Source organism: Homo sapiens, chromosome 3 (assembly GCF_000001405.40).
Source record: "Homo sapiens chromosome 3, GRCh38.p14 Primary Assembly".
Taxonomy (NCBI): domain Eukaryota; kingdom Metazoa; phylum Chordata; class Mammalia; order Primates; family Hominidae; genus Homo; species Homo sapiens.
Genome location: NC_000003.12, coordinates 71,100,098 through 71,123,711, shown reverse-complemented (window position 1 = coordinate 71,123,711; position 23,614 = coordinate 71,100,098). Strand labels below are relative to the sequence as shown.

General features: G+C 41.1%; 1 protein-coding gene across 16 annotated transcripts in view, besides 1 other annotated feature; it reads left to right on the top strand.

The window, feature by feature from the left end:
- The window catches only part of FOXP1 (forkhead box P1), a 629,271-nt gene that overhangs the window by 460,267 nt on the left and 145,390 nt on the right, over nucleotides 1-23,614 (top strand). For all 16 annotated transcript variants that reach the window (NR_146143.3, NR_146142.3, NM_001244810.2 and 13 more), the window contains one exon: nucleotides 11,075-11,176. Coding sequence is in view for 9 of the 16 variants with exons in the window: in NM_001244810.2 (NP_001231739.1) it covers nucleotides 11,075-11,176 (102 nt within the window). In the remaining 7 variants the exon portion in view is untranslated. The remainder of the gene's footprint in view (nucleotides 1-11,074; nucleotides 11,177-23,614) is intronic.
- Nucleotides 17,810-19,307: an enhancer, noted in NCBI's record as "VISTA enhancer hs1092". NCBI's record gives its function as "enhancer in: forebrain[4/5]" and the evidence as "EXISTENCE:transgenic organism evidence [ECO:0001131][PMID:17130149]".

Sequence of the window (23,614 nt, the reverse complement as noted above, 5' to 3'; positions counted from 1 at the left end):
GCTGGAAATCCCACTGGACCTAAAAGCCATGCCGAGTGGGTCAGGAGAAGAGATCTCACTTAGATGGAGGTGAAGTGTAAGATACAGGTGTCCAGAGGCATTAACTGTGGCTGGACTTTAGTGAAATTTGGGTTAAAAAGGAAAAGACCTGTACTCTCTTAGCTCTGCTTTTCTATTATTTGCTTTATGAAAAGCTCGTTTTGAAAAAAATCCAACCTTGGCTTAGCTGAACCAGAGAACGAGGGACTTGTCCAGAATGGGGCTTGAGGAAGAGCTGAGAATCAAGGTATGATGGGGACAACATCAATATTCCAAGAGAAGATGAGTGAACTCAGTTAACCAGAGAGGTGAAAACACAGCGTGCGAGAGAGCAGAGATAGCTGGGCTTGTTAATTCCTTCCTGTCCGCCTGCTTGGAGTTTGCCATCACAACAGTAGAAACACAGGATGCTGCTGCAGGGATTCAGATGCAGGGCTGGTCCCTTGGGTCTAGGGATATCAGGGGACACTGCTGCTTGAAGGAATTGGATTGTGGACAGAGTTTTTAGGCAAAGGTTGAATTTAGATGAAAGAAGATACTTGGATGCCATGTAAATGTGGGCAGAGAACAGGGAGGGCAGACTTGTGGATATGGTTATGGCTCACAGAGTCCTGGCCATGGAAAGGTCTGGTTGAAAAAAAGCAAGTCTTTTGTGTGGGGAAAAGAAGGGAGATTAAAGTTAGAAGGTGTGACACTGAGAAAAGACCCTTCCTTTCATTCTGGAGGCAAAAGGGCCCACAGTCAGTCATGCATTTTTAGCTCCGGAGGTCTGCATAGCCATTTGCCAAGATTACCCGTGGCCATCTTTGGTCTAATCAGTGACCTTGATACAGTGTGAGTATCAAGTTCTCATGAGACAATGTTTTGTTCGTTTTTGTTTTTCCATCCTAGCCACTCTGTAGACTTGTGACCTTGGGCAAGTCACTGAACTTGACAATCTGTCTCTGTTTGCCCATTTTAAATCAAGACTTACAAAACTTTCCCGAACTTCCCTTAGAAAAGTTGGGAACAAGAAATGAGATTAGTGTAGAGAGCACCTTAACTAGCACAGTGTCTGGTTCATAGTAAGCAATTCAATACAGTGTTTTTATTTAGTGTCTTAAATGTAGGGAAGTTATGCTGCACTTGTCCCTATGTTTCCAGATGTGCCTCATTTCTTAAATTGTTATACAGATACAATCTTAGCTATTCGAAATAACTTGCTTTAAGGAGTGTAAATTAATGGAGAATATTAGGATTCCCCCCCATCCTAATATTTGGCCAGTAGTGAGTAGTTCCGCATTTTGGATTATTATTCTTGTTTGGCCCTTTCCTATATTCCCATTTCTGTTTCTTTCTTTTGTCTTCTATCTCTGCTGGAATGTTGCCTCTAAATCATTTTTACTCTTTGCTTCTTTGCCCAAATTCAGGCAAGAAAAGGAAGGTACTTTGTGAAGCAAAGCATTCATAGGTGTTAATTGCCTCTTAGGGCATCCCGAGTATGTGTGACTTACAGTATAAGAAAAAAAGGAATACAGTACCATATTTGTTTGAGAAAGAACTGGGTTCAGTGTTACTAGGAAAATCATGGAAAATCCTCCATTATTTTGAGCATAATTCTAGTTAGATTCTTCCACAAGCTTCAAAATTAGCAAGTCTCATTCTGAGGTATGAAAAGATGTGAATCTGAATTATTCATAATGAGAGTTGCTGAGCTGCACCTCATAAAAGGCAATTGCAAAAAACAGTGGGTTAAATACAGTGAGTTAATAGAGCCTTTTGATTCATTTATCCTTGCATTTGACCCCAAGTTTTTCTACTTTGGGAACCTGGAGGATGGGTCCAACTTATTTATTTTTAAACACAATCTAGTCTTAAACAGAGGCAAAAAAGAGTTTGATGCAGCATCCAACTTAACATTTTAGACATTTTCTAATAAACTTCACTTCTGTTTTACTTCACTGCAATGCTAATGTGGCCTACAGTCATAGCATCCTAGGCTGTGATCTTGTCAGCTCTCGTGAGCTAAACAGGCTCAGGCTTGGGCACTGCTTGAATGGAATCCCTCCAAAGACAACTCAGGTGCCGGAGACTTGGTGTAGTGATTCAGCGTCTGGCACTGGCTCCAAGAGGGGCAACCAGCCAGTGCCTCAGCAAGGTGGTTATAGGGCCCTATGTTAATGGGAGTAGGAGTATGATGGTGGGTTTTTTTTTTAGCTCTTCCCAAAGACTTAAAGCAGACTTCCTGACTGTTTGTAGTCATTAAACTTACTACATCTAATTTTGCAAGAGGACCATAGATATCCCCCCCCCCTTTTTTTTTTCTGGTGTCATGAAAATCCTATCCTTTACCTTGCTGGCTGGGAAGTATCCTGTACGTGCCTTTCAAGTAAAAAAGGTTACTCATAATTGCAAGCGGATACAGGGTTTGCTGACCCCTTCCTGGGCTTGATTGGCGGTGGGGTTTGTAGCAGAATGCCACCTCCTATCTAGAGCCTTCGGCATCTCTCTCTGTCCATGTCTCCTGTAGTTGGTGCGCAGGATGGCATTTGAGCTCACAACGCTAATGCAGGCAAATCATGACGTGGTGCAGGAAAACATTTGCGTAATTTTTTCTCTTTAGTCCCAGTTCTTGTAAAAAAAAAAAAAAGAAAGAAAGAAAAAATATAATTTTTTGCCATCTTTTCCTCCCCAAGAAAATATACTCAAGTTGCTGACTTTAAAAGAAACAAAAAGCACAACTCCCAAACCTACCTTTGCGGTATTTGTTAAACATTAAAGTAAAAGAAAAGCAAGGAATATACATAATCGGCATCATAGCAATGATAACCACCCTACGTGTAGCTTAAAGAATATAAAATCATGTCTGTAAGTATATGTGAAACCTAACATTGGAAGTAGATCTAGAAGAGGGGTTCAGGCTGGTGTGGGGTGATAAAGTGGTCCAAGTACTGGAGGGAGTGCTTTGGCCTGGCCTTTACCTCTTCCCCACCGTCCCCACGCAGAGATGACACTGCCCATGACCCATGACTGTAACTCCTCTGCAGTTAGGACAATGATGACCAAAGAGAAGAGTGACTTTTCTATTTCTTGTCCCTTTCCACTTTGACTCAAACACATAATGTTGGAATGCTGTAGGTGTGGAGTTATCTCTGCTCTGATTTTTCTCCATGCCTATCTTGACATTGTCTCATAAACTTATTTGCAAAGACTGGAACACTTTTTAAAATCCATGCAAAATGTCCTACCTAAATATCAGCTGTTATTAAATGCTCTGTAAGCATAGGACAATTTGTCCAGCTGTTGGAACTCTTGAGGATGGATGATGCTACATAGAGCCTTTCCCTTCTCAGCCACTGATTCAAATTCAGTATATCCCAGTTGATGTAAGACTTGGCTGTCTACTGCACCTGCTTTTGGGGTTGAGTCAAGTGAATTTACTACCAATGAATGTTCAGAGTCCACACCCTTATTTGCAGTATCATAGAGTAGACCAAACAGTGACTGGTACAAAGAAACTGTTAAAGGCTGTCTGTGAATGGTCATTACCCCCTGTAAGTTTTGTTGGAGAATGTGTTTTGTTTTCTATTTATGACACCAATAACCTGACTCAATGATTTACTGCAGTGCTTTCTTTCTTCTCTTGTGTATCTAATATTTACACAGTCATTAGTATTGGAATCTTTCTTTGAACATCTAATATTTTCACAATCACCAGAATCCTTCCATGAGATTAACTTACTTTTCCATTGTCTTGTTACAACCAAATGTTCTATTTGTAAAATAAAATTTTAAAAAATTGTTTGAAGAACCTGTTGCTTTGGAATACTATTGACTCTGTATGAATACTTCCAGTTCTACAAGTGACTGTCATTTCTTTCTTTTTCTTTTTTTTAAGTCAGTCACAACCCTTAATTCCTTCCTGCACTGGAGTGATTGCTCTGTCTAAAGGAAGAAGGTGATGAAGTTTCCTTGCATACTCAGTCCTCGGTCTTGCTACAGAGTGATTGTCAGGTTGTGTTAAATGATCACTGCTTTGGTTGCTGGGGTTGAACAAAGATAGCAAACTAGTTTAGGGGAACCAGGCTCTCTACAGGGAGTCAAAGAGTATGTAGAGGATGAGAAACAGAGGAGAGAACACGACTCCTTTCCTACTAATGTTCCTATGCTGCTTTTCTTTTTTTTTACAAGCTTTTCCTCCCACCCCTATATCCACAGTGACTGTTGATTAGTCCATGAAATTATCTGAAAAACAGGTTTGATCTTGAGGGGTGGAGAGAGTCTAGGAAAAGAAATTAGAAGAAGGATGGCTGACTCAGACCAGCCTTTCAAGCTGGAAATGGGACAACTTCTCAGGGCAGACAGGAAATAACCAACTCTCGACTGGCCACCAATAAGGCACATGCTGTCTTCATTCTGTGGGTGCTCAGGATCTCATACTGATCTGAACTGCTATCAATTACCTACCAGCAGAAACACATCTTCAAAGTTTGAGGCAAGTTTTAAACAGTTTCAGATCAAGAAGCACATGGATGTATTTCCTTTTCAGAACATCAACATTGAATTTGAGCTTAAAGAACAGCTAATTAATAATGTTCTTGCTCCTTGGCCAAACTCTAAAATTATTTTGGGGAACTGATTGGAAGATGTGTTTATATAGGATTCTATCCAGTGAAATCTTTGGGGATCTCAGACTACAGATAGCAACCTAAGATGGGGATTGACAGACTTTTCTAGTAAAGAGCCAGATAAGAAATATTTTAGGTCTGAAGGGCCATGTGGTCTCTGTCAAAAGTCCTTGACTCCGTTTGTAGCACAAAAGTAGCCATAGATTATATATAAGGGAATGAGCTTAACTGTATTCAAATAAAATTTTATTGGTAAATACCAAAATTTGAATACCATATAAGTTTCACATGTCATAATATAATCTTATTTTATTTTTTTCTCAACCATTTAAGTAAGCAAAAACCATTCTTATATCATGAGCTGATATATGACAGATGATACAACACAGGTGATAGACCGAATTTGGTCCACGGGCTATAGTTTGCTGACCCGTGACTAGAAACTTTCCAGTTAGTCATATTTTTTGAAGACCTCCATGTGTCAGTTGGTTATCTCAGACCCCGTCACCAAGTGTGTTATGCAAAACATTTTAGAAAGATTTTCTCCTTCTACCAGCTTGCTTTATGTATGTGTGCATGCCTGTTCAAACCATATTTTATATAAACTTGTTGATGTTTCTTAAAATATGGTAGACATGTTTTTGAACATCGGCTACCTTGATAAACATGCTAAACATAGAATTACCTAGCCCCTATAAGCACCTGCTATGATCTTAGAATGTAAATAGCTCAGAAGTTGTAAACACGCTTATGTAAAACATAATTTGTAAATAACAGATGGCACTTATTTACTAAGAATATGAAGGCACTGATGAGAATGAAGTAATCTTGGACCAATAGAATGGAAGGTGTGTCAAAAATGTCCAGGTTCCAAGTTAGTATGAAAACAGGACCTACCGAGCCAGCAGCGAGAGGGCCATCTCACTGGCTCTGAGTGCTGAGAGCTGGCCGTGGACCATGACATGCCAGCCATCGGGCAGTTCCAACTCCTTGTGCAGATCCGGGCATAGATGGGAGACTAGTCAATCCACAGAAGAGATGAAAGTGATGCGTGCCTGCCACCACTCCCCCTGACCCACCCACTTCTTCTTTTAGCTCAGAGAGCCACTTATTTTAGCTTGAAGGAAAATAAATGTGAATGTGTGCAACTGGGCTCTAAGTGCCTGGTTTTATCATTCACCTCCACTCTGTGACATCCTCAAACTGTGTCTTTACTGTAACCCGAGCCTAGCATGAAAATACAGCACCAGGTTATCCAGTGCCAGGCAATTGTCACATCTGTTATAAAGGAAGTGTTGACTCAACCCACCCAGGAACCACCCAAGAGTAAAAGGTCTCCAGAGATGGGATTGGACCTTTTAAGTTATTTACATTAGCAATTGATCTGGAACTTGAGTCAGAGTTGATCCTTGCTTCTTAAAAGAGAAATTCTTTCATTTATTCATATCCTTTCTGTCTCTCTCTTTCTGCTGCTTGCCCTCTCCTTCTTCCTTTTTCACCCTTCTCTCTCCCTCTCCCATACACACAAACACATATTCACACGCATTCTGTATCCAGAGAATCTAATTTTATCTTCAAACAATGTATCCTAAGGGACTTTTCTCTAATTGTGGTTGAGATATTGTTATAAAAATAAGAAAAGTCCATTCTCACTCCTCAGTTGTATTGGAATAATATCTGGCCTGCCACAGTGGCTCACACTTGTAATCCCAACCCTTTGAGAGGCCAAAGTGGGAGGATTGCTTGAGCCCAGGAATTTGAAACCAGCTGGGGCAACACAATGAGACCCCGTCTCTACAAAAATGGAAAAATTAGTTGGATGTGGTGGCTCATGCCTGTAGTCCCAGCTATTCAGGAGGCTGAGGTGGGAGGATTGCTTGAGCCCAGGAGGTCAAGGCTACAGTGAGCCGTGATTGTGCTATTGCACTTCAGCCCAGGTAACATAGTGAGACCTTGTCTCAAAGAAAAAAAAAAAAGATTTATCTCTGGGGATTAGGCATTGGAGTTGGAGATGAAGGACATAATCTGTTCTGATCACATAACAGGTAAAAATGGCTATCAAGTCATCATCTGCAGGAAACATGGTGAACATAGGTCTCTGACACAGATTCCAAAGGGGATCCCATCAGTCATTCCACATTTTCCACTGATCAACACTGAACATTATAATAAGCATGTTTTTTACTTTTTACAAATCATAGATGGTGGAGATTTGTATTATAATGCCCAGATACATAGTGTTATACACTAAGGATTTATTGCCTCTCCTTGCATGTGACAATTTAAAATCTAGACCACAGTGATTTATAGATCATGGAAATTAGAAAAGAAAACACCTTTTAGTGGTTGATTTCAAAGCATGTTATAAATTCTGTTCAGTTAGGTTTTAAAACTCCTGCTGAGACCTAAGGCAATTTTTAAATGGATTTTAATTTGGGGAGGATATGGATAATAATTTGTTCCTACTCTGTTAACATACTCATGATAAAGCTGGGGAATTATTGTGGGATAATTCATAGCAATTCACATCAAAATGAATTATTCTCTGCACTAGTGTTGTCTCTCCATCCCAAATATTTAAAGTTATTTTACCTGTGTTTATTCATTTGGGGGCTGAAATTTGGAAGTCAGTTTGCACATCTTTATCTCGTGGTGTTCTCTGTTCAGTAGGTCGGCTGCAGTTTCCCTTGGGTTCATACAAGTTTGCAAACCTTTTCCCCCCGTGCTTGTATCTTGGATTATCATCTTTAGTGGGCCTCTGTATGAGATGGTATGAAGAGGCTGGGGTTTACAGTATGATTATTTAAGTTCATGTACCCTATGTTGGGTCTGAAAAAAAAACTTATACATGACTTTTTTACCCCCTTCAAACCAGAAGAATAAATCTGAGGATCCCAGTAGCTAATTTTGAAATGTGTGATCATTCTGTAGAGCCAGCTCAGTAAGCATTTGTTGAAAACTTAAGTTCTATACTTTCCTTTCCTTATGTACATTTATGAGACCATGCTCATGTAAGAATAGTTTTGTGATGGCCGGACACGGTGGCTCACGCCTATAATCCCAGCACTTTGGGAAGCTGAGGCGGGCAGATCACTGAGGTCAGGAGTTCAAGACTAGCCCGGCCGACGTGGCAAAACCCCGCCTCTACTAAAAATACAAAAGCTAGCAAGGCATGGTGGCAGGTGCCTGTAGTCCCAGCTACTCGGGAGGCTTGGGCAGGAGAATTGCTTGAACCTAGGAGGCAGAGGTTGCAGTGAACCGAGGTTGCACTACTGCACTCCAGCCTGGGCAACACAGCAAGACTTTGTCCAAAAAAAAAAAAAAAAAAGAATAGTTTTGTGTGTATGTGTGAATGTTTTTCTTAAAGACACTTTGCTGAAGTGAGGAGTTGACTATAGCTGCTCTGAGACTTGACTATTTAAAAATTGAGACTGGGTGCAGTGGCTCACACCTGTAATCCCAGCACTTTGGGAGGCCAAGGCAGGTAGATCACCTGAGGTCAGGAGTTAGAGACCAGCCTGGCCAACATGGTGAAACCCCGTCTCTACTAAAAATACAAAAATTAGCTGGGTGTGGTGGCACACGTCTGTAGTCCCAGCTACTCAGGAGGCTGAGGCAGGAGAATTGCTTGAACCCGGGAGGCAGAGGTTGCAGCGAGCTGAGATTGCACCACTGCACTCCAGCCTGGGTGACAGAGCGAGACTCCGTCTCCAAAATAAATAAATAAATAAATAAATAAATAAATAAAATAATAATAATAATAATAATTGAGTGCCCATTCTCCCAGTATTTGGTGGAATGTGGTAAGTTATATAGAGTCTTCATTACTTTGTTTTTCTTTGCTTGCTTTATTTTAGCCTTAAATGTGTGTAACCTTTCTCCTCTTCCCCACCATATTTTTCTCTGCACTGTCATCTATAGTCCCTCTCTCTGCCTTTCCAACTAGCAACCAAACCCTTCTTTGCTGATCAGTCTATTACTCTGAGAACTCTGATGATAGCACTTAAAATATATAACAGTTCCCTTTCTACATTAAAAAGCCATAAAACCTTCATGTGCAATAGCTAAGGGAACATATATAGTAGGAGAAGAGGCTTTTGCTCCTGCAGGCACCTTGCAAAGGGGACTATTTTTCTTATATGATATAAATGAAATCTTCACTCTGCCCACTTTTACACCTACGCATGTACTGAGCGTCTCCAAGGAGACAAGGAAACCCGGAGTCCAGTGATGGTGAATCCTCCCTGAGACAGCAGGCTAGAGTCTCAGGCAACTCTCCCAGGCGTCTTGGCTTCCAGATGCCCCACTCAGACAGCCCCTTTTCTCGAGGCTCTTCCAGGCAGGCCTTGTCGAATCTGTCTCTCCCTTCACAGATGAACTAGCCTGTGCATTACATCTGAAGGGCTGGTCGTGGTGAGTTCAGTAGGCAGAAGGCCTCCCTGGGACACGGGGGTGGATGCAGTAGGCAGGTGGGATAGCAGGGTTCCACTTTCCCATGGTCTTTTCTTTGTCACTCATCTATCGGTGCTTGTGTTTCTTAGCTTTCCTTTGCACCTCTTAAACACAAAGGCGCCACTCAACCTTACGCAGTGTCTTAAAAGTATTATTTGTTACAACTCTAGTTATGAGCACAGTTCAGTGAGCGTGTCCTTTTAGGAGAAGCACTGCTCTTGCACACTCCACGTTTTTACGTGTCTGCTCATGAACATTAATCCTCTAGACCACTCTGTTCTCTCTTTCTTCTGAGTTCCAGGCACAGGGACACGCAGGCCCCCTTACCTCTCTTCCATTCCACTATTGTCCCTGTAACTTTTCTTGTAAATATCCATGTTGTTTTCTTATGTAAATGAAGCACCTGTTCCTTTTTAAGGAACACACTACCGTCATAAGTCCATTATGCTAACTTTCTAAGGCTATAGCTTCAGGTCCTTTTGATGTATTGATGACATCTATGTGTGCCTCTTCTTTGATGCGCAAATAATTTGGTTACCATATAGAAATTATTATTGATATAATAAGAAGTCTCATTTTGTGTCTAAACTCTAAGCACATCGTTTAATGAGCATTCTTGACATCTCTGCCATGTGTACATTCTTGGTTCTCAGCTGCATTGACTCAAGTAACCCAACTTTTCATATGACTTTCTAGCATGATATCCTCAAACTTCAGTTTTCTGTTGCTGGTCCTAGTGCCATCTTTGGAAAGGTGTGTGGCTAGCCAGTATTCCTGTTCTTAATTCTTTGGCAGTGAATGTCTTCATGGCGGTTTATTGATGACATTGTTTTTTTCTTTTTTTACTTGACCTTTTATTTTATTTTATTTTATTTTATTTTATTTTATTTTATTTTATTTTGAGATGGAAGCTTATTCTGTTACCCAGGCTGAAGCACAGTGGTGCGATCTCGACTTACCCTAACCTCTGCCTCCCAGGTGCAAGCGATTCTCCTGCCTCAGCCTCCCAAGAAGCTGGGATTATAGGCATCTGCCACCACACCCAGCTAATTTTTGTATTTTTAGTAGAGACAGGGTTTCACCATGTTGGCCAGGCTGTTCTCGAACTCCTGACCTCGGTCTCCCAAGGTGCTGGGATTACAGGCGTGAGCCACAACGCCCAGCCTGCTTGAACTTTTAAAAAGATTTGTCAGTCATATGTTAAACATTTTAGAGGACTCTTCTGTTTTCTTCCTGCTTTATCTCCAATTCATACTACCTCCCCAATGTCTACCTTTAAGGAGAAACCATCCCATATTGTAAGCTTGAAAGGGTCATTTATAATAAACGTAACCAGTTTTGTTCACAGATACATAATGTGCCTCTTTAAGATGACTAGAGATCAGATTTGCCAAATTTTCCTCTCTGATTTCTATCAAGGTCATCCTAGGTATGTCTCATCTGTTTAATCTTCCTTTCTACGTAGCCTAATCCATAGTATATTTTTTTTTGTGGTCCACCACTTAGTTCTTTTTCTTTATTTGGACTCAGATGGGGTGAAAGTATTACTTTCAACTTGAGTCGCTACATTTCCCCAAGAAGAATTTGGGGAGGGTGAAGGTGACCCTGAAAAGGGCCCTGTAGTGTCTCCCAAGTTTTCGTCTTTGCTTGGGTCCCTCCTGGTCTCTCTGTCATCTTTGTTCAGAGTCTCAATCACTCATGGTCTTAAATTTCATGTCAGATCTTTAGTAGGAATAAAATGTCTGCTTAGATGCCTGTGGAACCGTGGATGAAACTGGCCGAGTCAAAGGGAACGTAAACAAATTCTGGAAAGTTTTCCAACTAAGACTGGTGGGAAGTTTCATTTGCTGTTTCATTTGCCAGGAAATAGGAAAGTCAGGACCCAGTCCCAAAGCGCACTTCCTGGAATCCTTTTTTATGAAGAGTCCCCTGAACCTGTGTAGTAACGCAAAGGATTTTCTTGTTTTTCCTTCCAGGCACTTCAGGTGGCAAGACAGCTCCTTCTTCAGCAGCAACAGCAGCAGCAAGTTAGTGGATTAAAATCTCCCAAGAGGAATGACAAACAACCAGCTCTTCAGGTAACAATTCTTTTTCTTTTTAAATTGACATTATACCCTTTGGGATAAGTGACAAGCAGTTCAGGAGTGGATTGTGTTGAGCATTGCAAATCATGTAAGAAAATCTTCTGTGGAAAGTGCATTTTTGGTTTACCAGCAAGTTGTAACATTTTGGGGAAAATGTGTATTTGACCAAAAGTTTTATTGTCAGGAGTAAGATCTGCTGATTAGTGAATATAATAGAAGGATAAGGAGTTGTAAGTGTTGAGTTGCTAATAGGCAGTGTAGGTTACCAATGAGAAAAGTTCATAGTACTCAGAATTGTCACCACATTCTCTTATGTTGGGTCTAGAAATGGCATAAACACACACAGACACACACCTTACTTTAGTGTAGTCATCCTCAATTGGGAAGATTTTGGCGACCCCCCCACCCCCCCACCCACCACCAGGAGACAATGGGCAATGTCTAGAGACGTTTTTCGTTGCCACAACTAGCAGGGCAGAGGTGTTGCTGGCATCCAGTAAGTACAGGCCAGGGATGTTGCCAAACATCCTGCAATGCACAGGACACGACACACCGTGATTCATCCCAGAATGTCAATAGCATCAAGAACTATGACTCGGCCTGAGGAGGATGTGGTACTTTTAACATTATGGCTTGTAATGATTATAATATATACCCAATTCTTCAGTGGATATGTTCAGAATGTTTCTAGGTCAATAATTTTTAAATGGCAAGAAATTTTTATGTAAAGATACAAAAATGGTTGTTCTAGCAACTTCTGATTTCAGGCACATTGAAGGCAAGGGCTTAATGGAGTAGAAGAATGAGTAAGTTTATAAAAATCTAATTTGGGGCCAGGCATGGTGGCTCACGCCTGTAATCCCAGCACTTTGGGAAGCTGAGGCAGGCGGATCACTTGAGGTCAGGAGTTCGAGACGAGGCTGGCCAACCTGGTGAAACTCCATCTCTACCAAAAAATACAAAAGTTAGCCAAGCTTGGTGGCGGGTGCCTGTAATCCCAGCTACTAGGGAGGCTGAGGCAGGAGAATCGCTTGAACCCGGGAGGTGGAGGTTGCAGTGAGCCAAGCTCGCACCACTGTGCTCCAGCCTGGGCGACAAGAGTGAAACTCCATCTCAAAAAACAACAAAAAAAATCTAATTTGGGTTTTTGACTCAAAGTAGAAAATTGTAATAGAAGTTTCAAAGAGACTTGAATCAGGGTCTTCATGCTCACGTTTAAGAGAGGGCACTTGGCACCCGGGTCCTAAGTGGTTCAGACTACTTTCATAGCTGAAGGTGGGCATCCTTGTCACAGGAGGGGACAGAATCTATAAGCGGTAGCTGATAGGTATATAACTTGGTGCCAATTAATTGGATAATGAGGTCAACCTAAATTCTAGCTTGTGTTTACTTTTCACAGGTCAGGGTGAACCACAGCCTGTTCCCAGATTATCCCCAAAGATCAAACTGACCTTGACCAACAAGTTCTAGTTCTTCTACATGTACTTGGGAAACTGTCACTTTCCAGAGAGAGTTCAGCACTATAGTGACGCTTTATTGGAAAAGTTGACAATCTGCCTTGTTTACTAACCCTTCTGTAAACACTTATTTGGTAAACCATCACCAGACCATGTGCCTTGGAATGCGTGCGCATGCAGGGGACATTTTTAATGAGGTACAGTGCCATTGAGGGCCCATGTCAGGTGCTATAAGAAGTGCTTTGTTGTGCAGATGTCTTAAGAACAGCTCTGGAGGATGAAATACGACTATGTTGACCTTTCAGCTGTGAGCTTATTTGTCAGGATTCAAATAAGTTGAAAGGATCAAACTGAACAGTTTCCGTAGTCAGACTGGGAATTGTGTTTCAGAGGTCAGCAGCGGAGGCCACATTGCAGATTCCATAACATAGCCAATTGTTGGTACATATTAAAGTACTGGGGCATCTCCTGTGGACAGAGACACAATTAAAATTCTAATTTATTAATGTATACAGGGAGCTAGCCCAGCCTGTCACTCAGTGATTCAAATGATGGTCCATTCTTTTTGCCTCCCTCTTGGAGCTCTTACAGCCTTAAAAATACCCCGAGTCCTCTTGAATTCATCAGGCCTCAAGTGCATTGGGAAAATGAAAATATATTATTGGGGGGGAAATCTTACACATAGTAGAGCTTTGGTTAGAGATAATAAAAAAACACACACATACACAATCTGTCTGATCACACTGCTCTTCAGTATTGAATATCATTTGTGATTTTTTTTATGGTAGAATTATTTTCCCTCATACTTGCTTTTTAAAAACATATGGCATTTTTAGGTAACTTCTTTTCCAAGATGAACGAAGTTCCTTGAGGGCTAAATATAAGAAGTAAAGTTTCAGGGGATTTCCTTTTGAGGGCTCTTTTTCTTCTTGCCTGTTACAGGGTTTTTAGCCACCATGCAGAAGTGGATGATATAGAGGGCTCCGTTTTTCTTGGCAAGGACAGTGTCAAAACCAACCTCACACATTCTGCTGAGCACTTCAGTCTGTATAAAAAGTAGGGGGAGAAGGGGTAATCTTGAACGCTGGTTTTGGTAAAGAAGATGTCTTGAGTTTTTCCCCTACCCCCCAAGTAGAGGAATTGACAAGCAGAGAATTTAGACCAGCTTTAAGATTTGGCCGGGGGAAATAAATCTAAAAGGTTGGTGGACTGGTGTGTGTGTGTGTGTATCACAGACGATTGCTGAAGGACCCCTCAGCTGCCTGATAGGGTCATGCACATTCAGTAAGCTTTATTAGGTTGGCTGGCCTTCCACAAACAGAGGAGAAATTACTATCCTAGGTCACATGGTATATTACCTCATTATAAAAATATGCATATAGACTGGTGATTCACAGAAGGAATAACCTTCATATTTAAATATATCTTGCCATACTGCATCCTTGCTGAGGCGTCTCCGCCGGAGTGGCTCTGAAATGAAAGGGAAATCCTACAGCAAATCTTAACAGTGCTCATCTCTGATCTTCTCACCCTTCATAACTACACTGAGAGACCGATTTTAGCAAATTTCAGATCTTCTGCATAGAGGAAGGCTTGACAGGGAAGAAGGATTTGATCTGCTGATAGCTTGAGGGAAAAAAAAAAACCCCCAAATCCCCAAATATACTGTGACTCATATTTTAAGCATATCTCACACTTCCCTGCTTTATGTTTGGCAGCGCTCTCTGGTTTCACAGGCTGATGATACAAACAAAAGAAAATGGAAAGTTAGAGGAGGCTATAAGTGGTTACTCGATAGAGATCATAAAATATAGTCAAACATCACCAATTTGGTCTAATTTCAGGGAGATGAGAGTAAATAAGAGAGAAATGGCACTCTTTGCAGATCCACATACTGAACCAAATCTGAGCTGGTCACATTCTTGGGTGATGTGGTTTATTAATGAAGGCATTAATCGGGTATAGATATTGCTTCTGAAGTTCTTGAGAAATATTCTACTTAGTAACCAAAATTATCTTTTTACTTAGTCTGTTCATTTGCTTCGCAAATTTTTTTATGAATGATACAAATGAAAATTGAAAATTGGCCCCATCATAAATTCAGAATCAGAATGATCTGAATTAATTAAGTGCAAGTTGGTGAACATTTCCAAAGCAGGCTGGGCATGGTGCTGGTGTTCATGGGATACAGAACTGTTGAAGATACACACCCTGCCTTCAGGAGGCTTATGAGTTGTAAACAAATTAACAAGATTTTGCTGCAAAACGAAAATTACAGATGAGTAAAAATAGTAGGCTCTTTTTTTTTGAGATGGAGTCTTGCTCTTTCATCCAGGCTGGAGTGCAGTGGAGCGATCTCGGCTCACTGCAACCTCCGTCTTCCAGGTTCAAGCGATTCTCCTGCTTAGCCTCCCAAGTAGTTGGGACTACAGGCATGCACCACCACGCCCAGATAATTTTTGTAATTTTAGTAGAGACTTGGTTTCACCATGTTGACCAGGCTGGTCTTGAATTCCTGACCTCAGGTGATCCACCTGCCTCGACCTCCCAAAGTGTTAGGATTACAGGCATGAGCCACTGTGCCCAGCATAGGCTTTCTTCTATAAATATTTATATACTTCTGAAGATTGCTTAAACAAGTGAAATAAATGCTTAACAGTGCAGGTGTACTCATAACCTCGAAAATGCGTAACTTTACTGGCTGAAGATTAATTTGTGAGTCGATGAGCAATTTTATTGATCAAATTTTGGAACTTTGACCACCGTTTCTGGGTAGTAATTCATCTTGGTTCTTTAAGCATTTTAGTTGTTGGCACGAGTACATAAACTGGAAGGAAATCAAATGACACATTTTCTCCTAAGAAAGTAAGAGTACATGTGTATTCTGGCAGCATTAAAGTTAGGAAAGAAAGTAAACTTTGTGTGTTGCTTACAGTGGAAAGCTCACCAGCTTCAGGCCCTCTATAAAGAATTTGAACCTGAAGCCAGTCATCTGATAGTTTTCCTTCCTGCCCATGCCCTTCCTTCCAAGGTGATGTCATGTGTGAGCCCCTTACTCAGAAGGCCATTTCACTGCAGGGAAAGTGAAACCCACTTAGAAGGCCGGCCCTTTAGTCCACTTGGAAGCTCAGGGTGATCATGTGGATTCTTGCTTTAAGTGGAGGAGGTTAAAATACAAGATTCAGCAGGTGTTTTTTTAGCATTTTTATTTGCAGTTATATAAAACATGCTTTAGGCAGCATTTTGCTTTGCATTAATGCCGCATATAATCTTAGTAGCTCATATCATTTCCACGTTATTCACTAAAGAAGAAATTGGCAAGAGGAAACCTGTAAAGGAAACTACAACTTTATGTTGTTGATAGTGAAATGGAATGGTTTTGAAGTACTGACCCTTAAGAAATAGCCCTATGCACTGATTAGTAAGGAGGATAATTTAGGAGAGAGAAGCAAACTTTTTTTTTTAATGTCTAGAGTTAACATAGTCTAGAATTGGCACCCCTAGCATTTTAAATTGATACAAAGCATTGAAATTTTGATATCTTTAAGATGTTACTGTTATCACATGACTTTTGAGAATCCCAAAACCCTAAAAATAAGTCTCGATAAGAAATAATAAAACAGAAATATTTTAGAAATAGTTCTTAAGCCTTTCTGATTACATGCACCATTACAAATATGATAGAAACAGTGACCCCTCCTCCCAGAAAAACGCACATGAACACAGAATGTCACATCCAGTTTTAGGGATTTCATGAACTTCAAGAAGTTCACCTTGGGGTCCAGGCTGATACTCCTGCTTTAAGATTTTGTTTTTCTTTGATAGTCTGTTTTGTCCTTGCCTCCAAAATTTTGGTGCAAGTTGTAATATAATGAGTTCGTTCGTTTTTGTTATTTCAACTTCAGCTGTGCATAGGTGGCCCTGTGTCCCAGTCTGCCCAGGACAGCCCACTCCATGGCTATTGATTGGTTTTGTTTATTCATAATTCCCACTCTTGAAGGTATCCCCAGGTACAGTGGCTCACACCTGTAATCCCAGCATTTTGAGAGGCTGAGGCAGGCAGATCACTTAAGTCCAGGAGTTAGAGACCAGCCTGGGCAACATGGCAAAACCCCATCTCTGTGAATAATACAAAAATATTAGCCGGGCCCGGTGCCTGTAGTCCCAGCTACTCTGATGGCTGAGGTGGCAGGATTGAATGAGCCCAGGAGGTAGAGGCTACAATGAGCCATGATGGTGCCACCGCATTCCAGCCTGGGAAACAGAGCAAGATCCTAGCTCAAAAAAAAAAAAAAAAAATCCCTATTTGAACCAGGTGCAACTGCAGTGGTGTGCACCATATCTCAGCTACTAAGAAGGCTGAGGCCAGAGGATCTCTTGAGCTCAGGAGTTTGAGGCCAGTCTGGGTAACATAGCAAGACTCTATTTCGATTAAAAAAAAAAAAAAGTGGCCGGGTGCAATGGCTCACGCCTATAACCCCAGCACTTTGAGAAGCCAAGGCGAGCGGATCACAAGGTCAGGTGTTCAAGACCAGCCTGGCCAACAAGGTGAAACCCCATCTTGCAAAAATTAGCTGGGCGTGGTGGCACGCACCTGTAGTCCCAGCTACTCGGGAGGCTGAGGCAGGAGAATCGCTTGAACCTGGAAGGCGGAGGTTGCAGTGAGCCGAGATCACGCCACTGCACTCCAGCCTGGGCGACAGCGAGACTCTGTCTCAAAAAGAAACAAAAAATAAGGAACTCAGTTTGGACTTTAATTATATGATCACTAGTTTAAATGTATCTAAGAATTACAATGCAAATGTGATGCTAATATTTTATATGTAATCATGTCTTTGCCACCACATGCAAAGTGTGATAGATAATGAATGTTTAGTCAGTGCTGAACGTGGGCCAGCTCCTTAGCTACTCTGTAGTATAGGCAGTGTCCTTAAATCATTTAATGGATGAGGAAGATGGAAACAGAGAGATTAACTGACTTGCTACACAGCACAAAGGTAGTAACAGCACCAGGATGGGAAGCCAGGTTTTTTAGAACCACAGATAACCAGTGTGCCGTCAAGAGGTTAATTATTGCCTCTCTTTTTATGTGTGTTTACTCAGCACCTACTGAGTGTCATATTTTCCATAAATAAGTAAATTACGCTATTTTCCATATTATAAGCAAAAAAAAGACAGCTGAAACCAACAAAAATCAGTTCCACTATAAATATCTGGATTTCAATTAAGAGGACTCAGATCTGCATAATTACCCTAAGTATATCTTTATTTGTCTGTGTGTGTGCCTGTGCGTGTGTGTCTCTGTGTGTGTCTGTGTGTGTGGTGGGGACAGAAAGGTGATCAACAACAGCAAAGCAAAGTTATTTCTTATTTTCAAGTCTGAAGTGCTCTTATGAGCGTCCATGCGTTTGGAACATGGACTAGTTTATTATAATCATTGTTGGGGCTAGGAGGTGGAGAGGGACAGGGGAAAAACATACTTGACTGGTCAAAAATGTGTAAATTGCTGACAAAATGACACATGTAATTAAGAGTGCTCCTGCCATTTTACCTTGTGGTTTACACCTCCAGTGTTGAAAAAGAGAGTGACTCCCACCTCGCTAATTACCATTATCACTAAAATGCTAGGGTTGGAGTCATTAGTTCCATGTGCATTTAATTAGAGGAAGGCTGAAATTGGATTTAACTTATTACTTTTTCATGGATCACTTTCTTGTCATCACTTCAAATTGGATTGCAGCCCCAGGTAACTAATTATGAGAGCCACAGGATCAAGAGTGAAAAAAAAGGTAATTAGGAATAACACTGTCGGACCCTTGCTGGTCGTCCACTTGTGCTTCAGGGAAAGAGGGGGAAAAAAAAAGAAAACGCAAGCCATATTTTGTAGTATCACGGATTAAGGAGTTAGGGGCATGTACAGTTGCTAGGCATCATGGGACTCTGTCACCACCCATAGTGGTTTCTGTGATATACAGCTGAGTTGAAGATGTCGAAGCAACGTGGTTCCACAATCAGCTGCTTAATAACTAGATTGAACTTGTAAAAGCAACAGATTGGTTGTAGGTATGAGGCATCTCTACAACTGTGTAGACTGGGGGCCTCACATATATGATTACAACAAAGCTGTCAAGATGCCTCTGAGCCAAAGTAGAGAATATTTTAAGTATAGGGAGTTAGAATTTAATGAACATATTAATGCTCCAGAAACATCATTCATATCTGACAGAAAGATGTATCAGTCAGCACAACAGTCAGGTTTAGGGTTTATATATCAGGACGTTTTGTCAAAGTTTCCAGCGTCCGGTAATGTTCAGGATGTTTACTTTGCTTTGGATTTGCTCCCTCCCACCCCTCCCCAAATGTTGTGGATGGGTTTCCTGAGGTTCCATTTCTCCTTCCATCCCTATTGAAAATTCTTTAAAATAAATTATATTGTTTCCATATGCAGAACAGAATTCAGAACTGCAAGCAATCAATTTTATTGACACCATCTGAAAAAATGTTGATGACAGTTAGAGGATGTGAAAGAATTGGATTTTTAAAGTCCCCAGGACTAAGTGTGGCAAAAGAAAAAAAACTGAAATGTAATCTCATTACTCAAAAGTTCTGTTAGACACTCCTAAGAAGTGATTCTTCTTAACGAAAAAAATAAAAGCAGCAGCAACAGCAGCAGAAGGGCGGCTTCTTCTTGGATAGGCTGTGATCCCACAATGAGGTCTTGCTATCAAGCCTATTGGTTGCCTTGAAGGGAGAAAAGAGCTTCTTGGTTTCCCATGGCAGTGAATCACCCAGCAAAGATGGCTCGAGTTTCCTTAAGTTGTTTAAAATTGGTTTTAGTGTTCTGTTAATGTAAGCAAATAATCATGATTTTAGTCTTGAGTGACTTTCAGGCCTGGGCGAGTCAGGCTTGCTCAGTATTCTCCAGTGCAATGGGAGTATAGACGATGATGCGCCCCGCCAATAGAGACCACTACATCATTATCCCCAAAGTGGTAAAATACTCTTCCTGGAATTTTGAGTCTTTTTCCTGTGTGAATCTTCTGAGCAAAATCTCAGAACCAAAATAGTGATCATCAAGTCTAATGTAGAAAATTAAAGCCTCTCTCTTTTTTTGGGGGGGGAACATCTTAAGTTGATTTAGAATTTTTGTACACAATATTCGTCTGTGGTTGAAAGGGGGCACGCTGAGGTCAAGTGATGTAGTGTTTTCCATTTTTCCATATGAGTCTCACAGTGTGCGATAAAAGCAAACTCCTTTATTTTGTAAGTCTGCAAGAATTTCTGCTGAAGTGCAGAGGTCACGTTCCCTGTCAATTTGAGTAGCCAGCATTTTTTAACTACTGTTTTTTCTTTTGGTGTGTCTTTTCTTCCCTCCCCCCACCTTGCTATAAACCGTGGCACTTTTCTGACACATGCACAGTGAGGTCCTCCAATCTGAAACTCATTAGCACACAGCATTGGACCCTGTCCAGTGGTTAGAAAATTTCCTGGAGCCTAGAATAACAGCATTTGGTGCAATACCATGGACCAGAAGTGACAATGGAGGTAGTCGCACTCCCCTGGCACCCTGCCCGGTCAGGAAAGCCAGCTGACCACACAACACGGTGAGACAGAGGTTGTGCATATAGGATGAGCTCGAAAAGTTTGGTGCTTAGAGAAATACACTTCTAAAATCACAAGGCAATATCTGTTTTCCCTACACTTATTATTTCTATTGGGTCAGAGATGTTTATCAACATTCATTGCAGGAACATGAAAATAAGCAATTAGAGAAAATAGGATGAAGCTCAAGTTCCACAATATAGTATTTTTCACTTCTGTAACTATGGGTTATTTTCAGGACCTATATTTTCATTCATTCATTCATACATGCATGCATTCATTCATTCAAACTTTACTCATTGAACTTCACTATCTTGAGATAATGTGACCAGGCTGCAACCCCCTACCCTGACATTAGAAAAATTAAACAGTTTACCCTAAGTCAGGTTAATTTAAGCCAGGTTTTCAAACAGGAAACTGAGTCCCAGAAAGATAATAGTTATCATATTAAATAGTAAATACTATATAGTACTTTCTAGGAGCCAACTACTGTACAACAACCATATGGGGTAAGTTCTATTATTATTCCCATTTTACAGGGGAGGAAAGTGGAGCATAGAGAAGTTAACTTGTCCAAGGCCATACAGCTGATAAGTGGCAGAGCTGGGATTCTAGCCCACACAATCTGGCTCAAGAGTCTATGCTTTCATCCATTACACTCTACTGCCTCTCCCTGAGCTACCACCTGGGCCCCGCAAACAGGGAAAGCAAAAGGAATGGAATCAGAGTTGCTGATGCTTAATGCTCCTCGCTAACCACCAGACCACACCGTCTCCTAATTTGGACATATGTTGATGGGCATATTTGAAAAATAGTGCTTATAATTGAAATATGCACTTTCTAAAGGGAAATGACGCTTGGGAAAGAGAAGAAAGACGGGTATTACTCAAAGCCTGCAGACAGCTCTGCAAGTAATTGTCTAAAGGCAGCCGTTGAAATTGAGAAGCAGTTTGGAAAATGTACAGTTTGGGAAATTTGTGTACCGATGTAATTACGGTAGTTGTGAGCTGATGTCATGCCTAGTAACTGTTTTTGTATTGCTTGGGCCTTTGTTACTGAGCTGTGATATCATGAGCAAACTATTATAAACATAGCATGGATATAGCATGCTTGTGTAACAAAAGATCGGGAACTTTTATTAAGTTTGTTTTCCTTGTCATATTGTAAAAATTTATTATGTGTACTGTGTATATTAGAAACAGATTTGGGTAATTCTGTCTAAATGAAGTCATCCCGGCTATTTCCAGACTGTCTGTTTTTGGTTGTGAATAATTTTCATACATCAGATGGTTGTCATATTTAGTCGCTCTCAAAATTTTAAAGAGAACATATCCCATTTTGAACTTTTGGTGGACTTCAGCCACCTTGCTGTTGGGATTGTTTGAGTTTGAAATTATTGCCCGGTAAATTACAGGGACTGAATACTAGTCATTTCTAAAGGGTCTGGGGTTGCTGCCTTCTATTCATAAGTTCTCTCCTTCAACAAAAGAACAGATTTTTAACTACTTAAGTAGTAGAATTTAAAGCTGCTGGACACAGTTGGGCAAAGAGCGCCGGCCCTTGTCCTTTTACATTATGTCCCATTGAAGAACTTTGGTAAATATTCAAGCAGACAGAGCTCAACGTTTAGCGGTGTTCATGGTAAATGTGGAGTTTAAATGGGTAGTTCCAAAACTTTGAATGACTCGATCCTTCCCAGCTACTCTCCTCTAGCTCCTTCTTTTGCTGCCAAGCTTTTAGACTCAGAATATTGTGCCTGCTGCTTCCTTGTGGTGTTTTTTTTTTTTTTTTTGCTTTTTCCCAGTCACTTTCTTTCCTAAACTCCTCCCAAGTCTGGCTTTTCTCCTCATCATTTTCTTGAATTTTATTGTCACTAAATTTAGTGGCCATGTCTCCATCCTTCTAACCTGTCTGGCCTTCTTAGTAATACATTGCATGGGCTAACTTGTTTTTTTTGGAAAATGCCATCATTTAAACTTCTTCAAATCAGTACCCCCTGGCCTCCATGCTGTTTTCTTTCTGCTTCCCAGTTCATTTCTGGAACCCAAGTTCACTCTTTCCCCCAAGTTCAGTTTCTTTGATCCCCTTTAATTTCAGTGCATCTGGGCTGTGTGCTTGTTCTAGAACCTTCACACACATGGGTGCCTCCAGACCTGTTGTACTGCTCCTAAGTGCCTACCTGTGGTTCTCTCTTAGCTCGCCTTCACATGAATTTCAGTATCTCTAATCCAGCAGATCCCTTTTGTCCCCAGGTCTTATTAGTCACAGTCATTTGACTCATCACTGACCTAGGAATTTCCTTCATCCTCAGCATGTTATTCATCCTCACATGTGCCATTTTTCCTTCCGCTGGTATTTTCTGTCCGTTCCTTTTTCTGTGTTTCCCCTGCTGCCACCTTATTCTAGAGCTGTCCCTTCAGGTGCCACCTGCTGGGATTTTGGCAAAGACTTTTTCCAACCCGTCACCCCCTCCCCTCAAAGAATCTTCTGTTCTTTATGCATCGCTCACCTCCTATCCTCTCCTCGAACGCCATGTCATTCTGCTCTTCAGAACCGTTATGTATCATACCATGTCTCCATCCTGCTGCCTTCATCTAGTTAATTAGCATTCCAGCTTTGCATTAAATTAGATGTCCCGAGAAGAAGTTTATAGCCTTCTGACTGGGGAGAGGGGAGAGAGTCATGAATTCAGAGTCATCATTCCTTTGTAAGGAGCTGGATAAAAGTGCAGTCCATTTGATAACAGTTCAGAGTCCCCAAAATCCAGAATTGCAGATACTGTGTACTGTGTTGCCTGCTGTTTAGAGAGAAGACCTTTGGTGATTAAATTGTGTGTGAGTTTAATTTCAGGAGATTATCTTTGTCTGCTTTCTTCAGAAAGAAACTAAAAACCACATGATGTGAAGGGCTGTCCCGTTCCTAAGTTCTCCACCATGTGACTGCCTGCTTCTTTTCCATTGGTATCTACCACTGCCCCCTAGAAGGTTTCTTCTGATCTCCTCTGACTATAAGACCTTAAGGCGAGACACTCCCTTGTCTGCACATGGGAGAGCCGCTTTGTCAGACTTAATGAAATTGCTTTTAATAAGACATCAGTGAAATTATGTCTGGTTTGTTGTTTGTTTGAGAGCGTAAAGGGATTGTTATTTATTCTAGAAACAGAATAAGAGTCTGAACCACATAGAATTACACACCGAAGAGGTTTTGTTGTGACTACCAACTTTGTTGAGGATATGAAGTGGCTCTACCTAGAGTGCTGTTTGAAGGACTGTGGGTCTGAGATGGGCTCTGAAGAGTGCCACGATTGATTAGGTATGTCTGCCATGGGCACTGGAGATGGGAGAAGTGCTATGTGCACCTTCTGTTTGCCAAG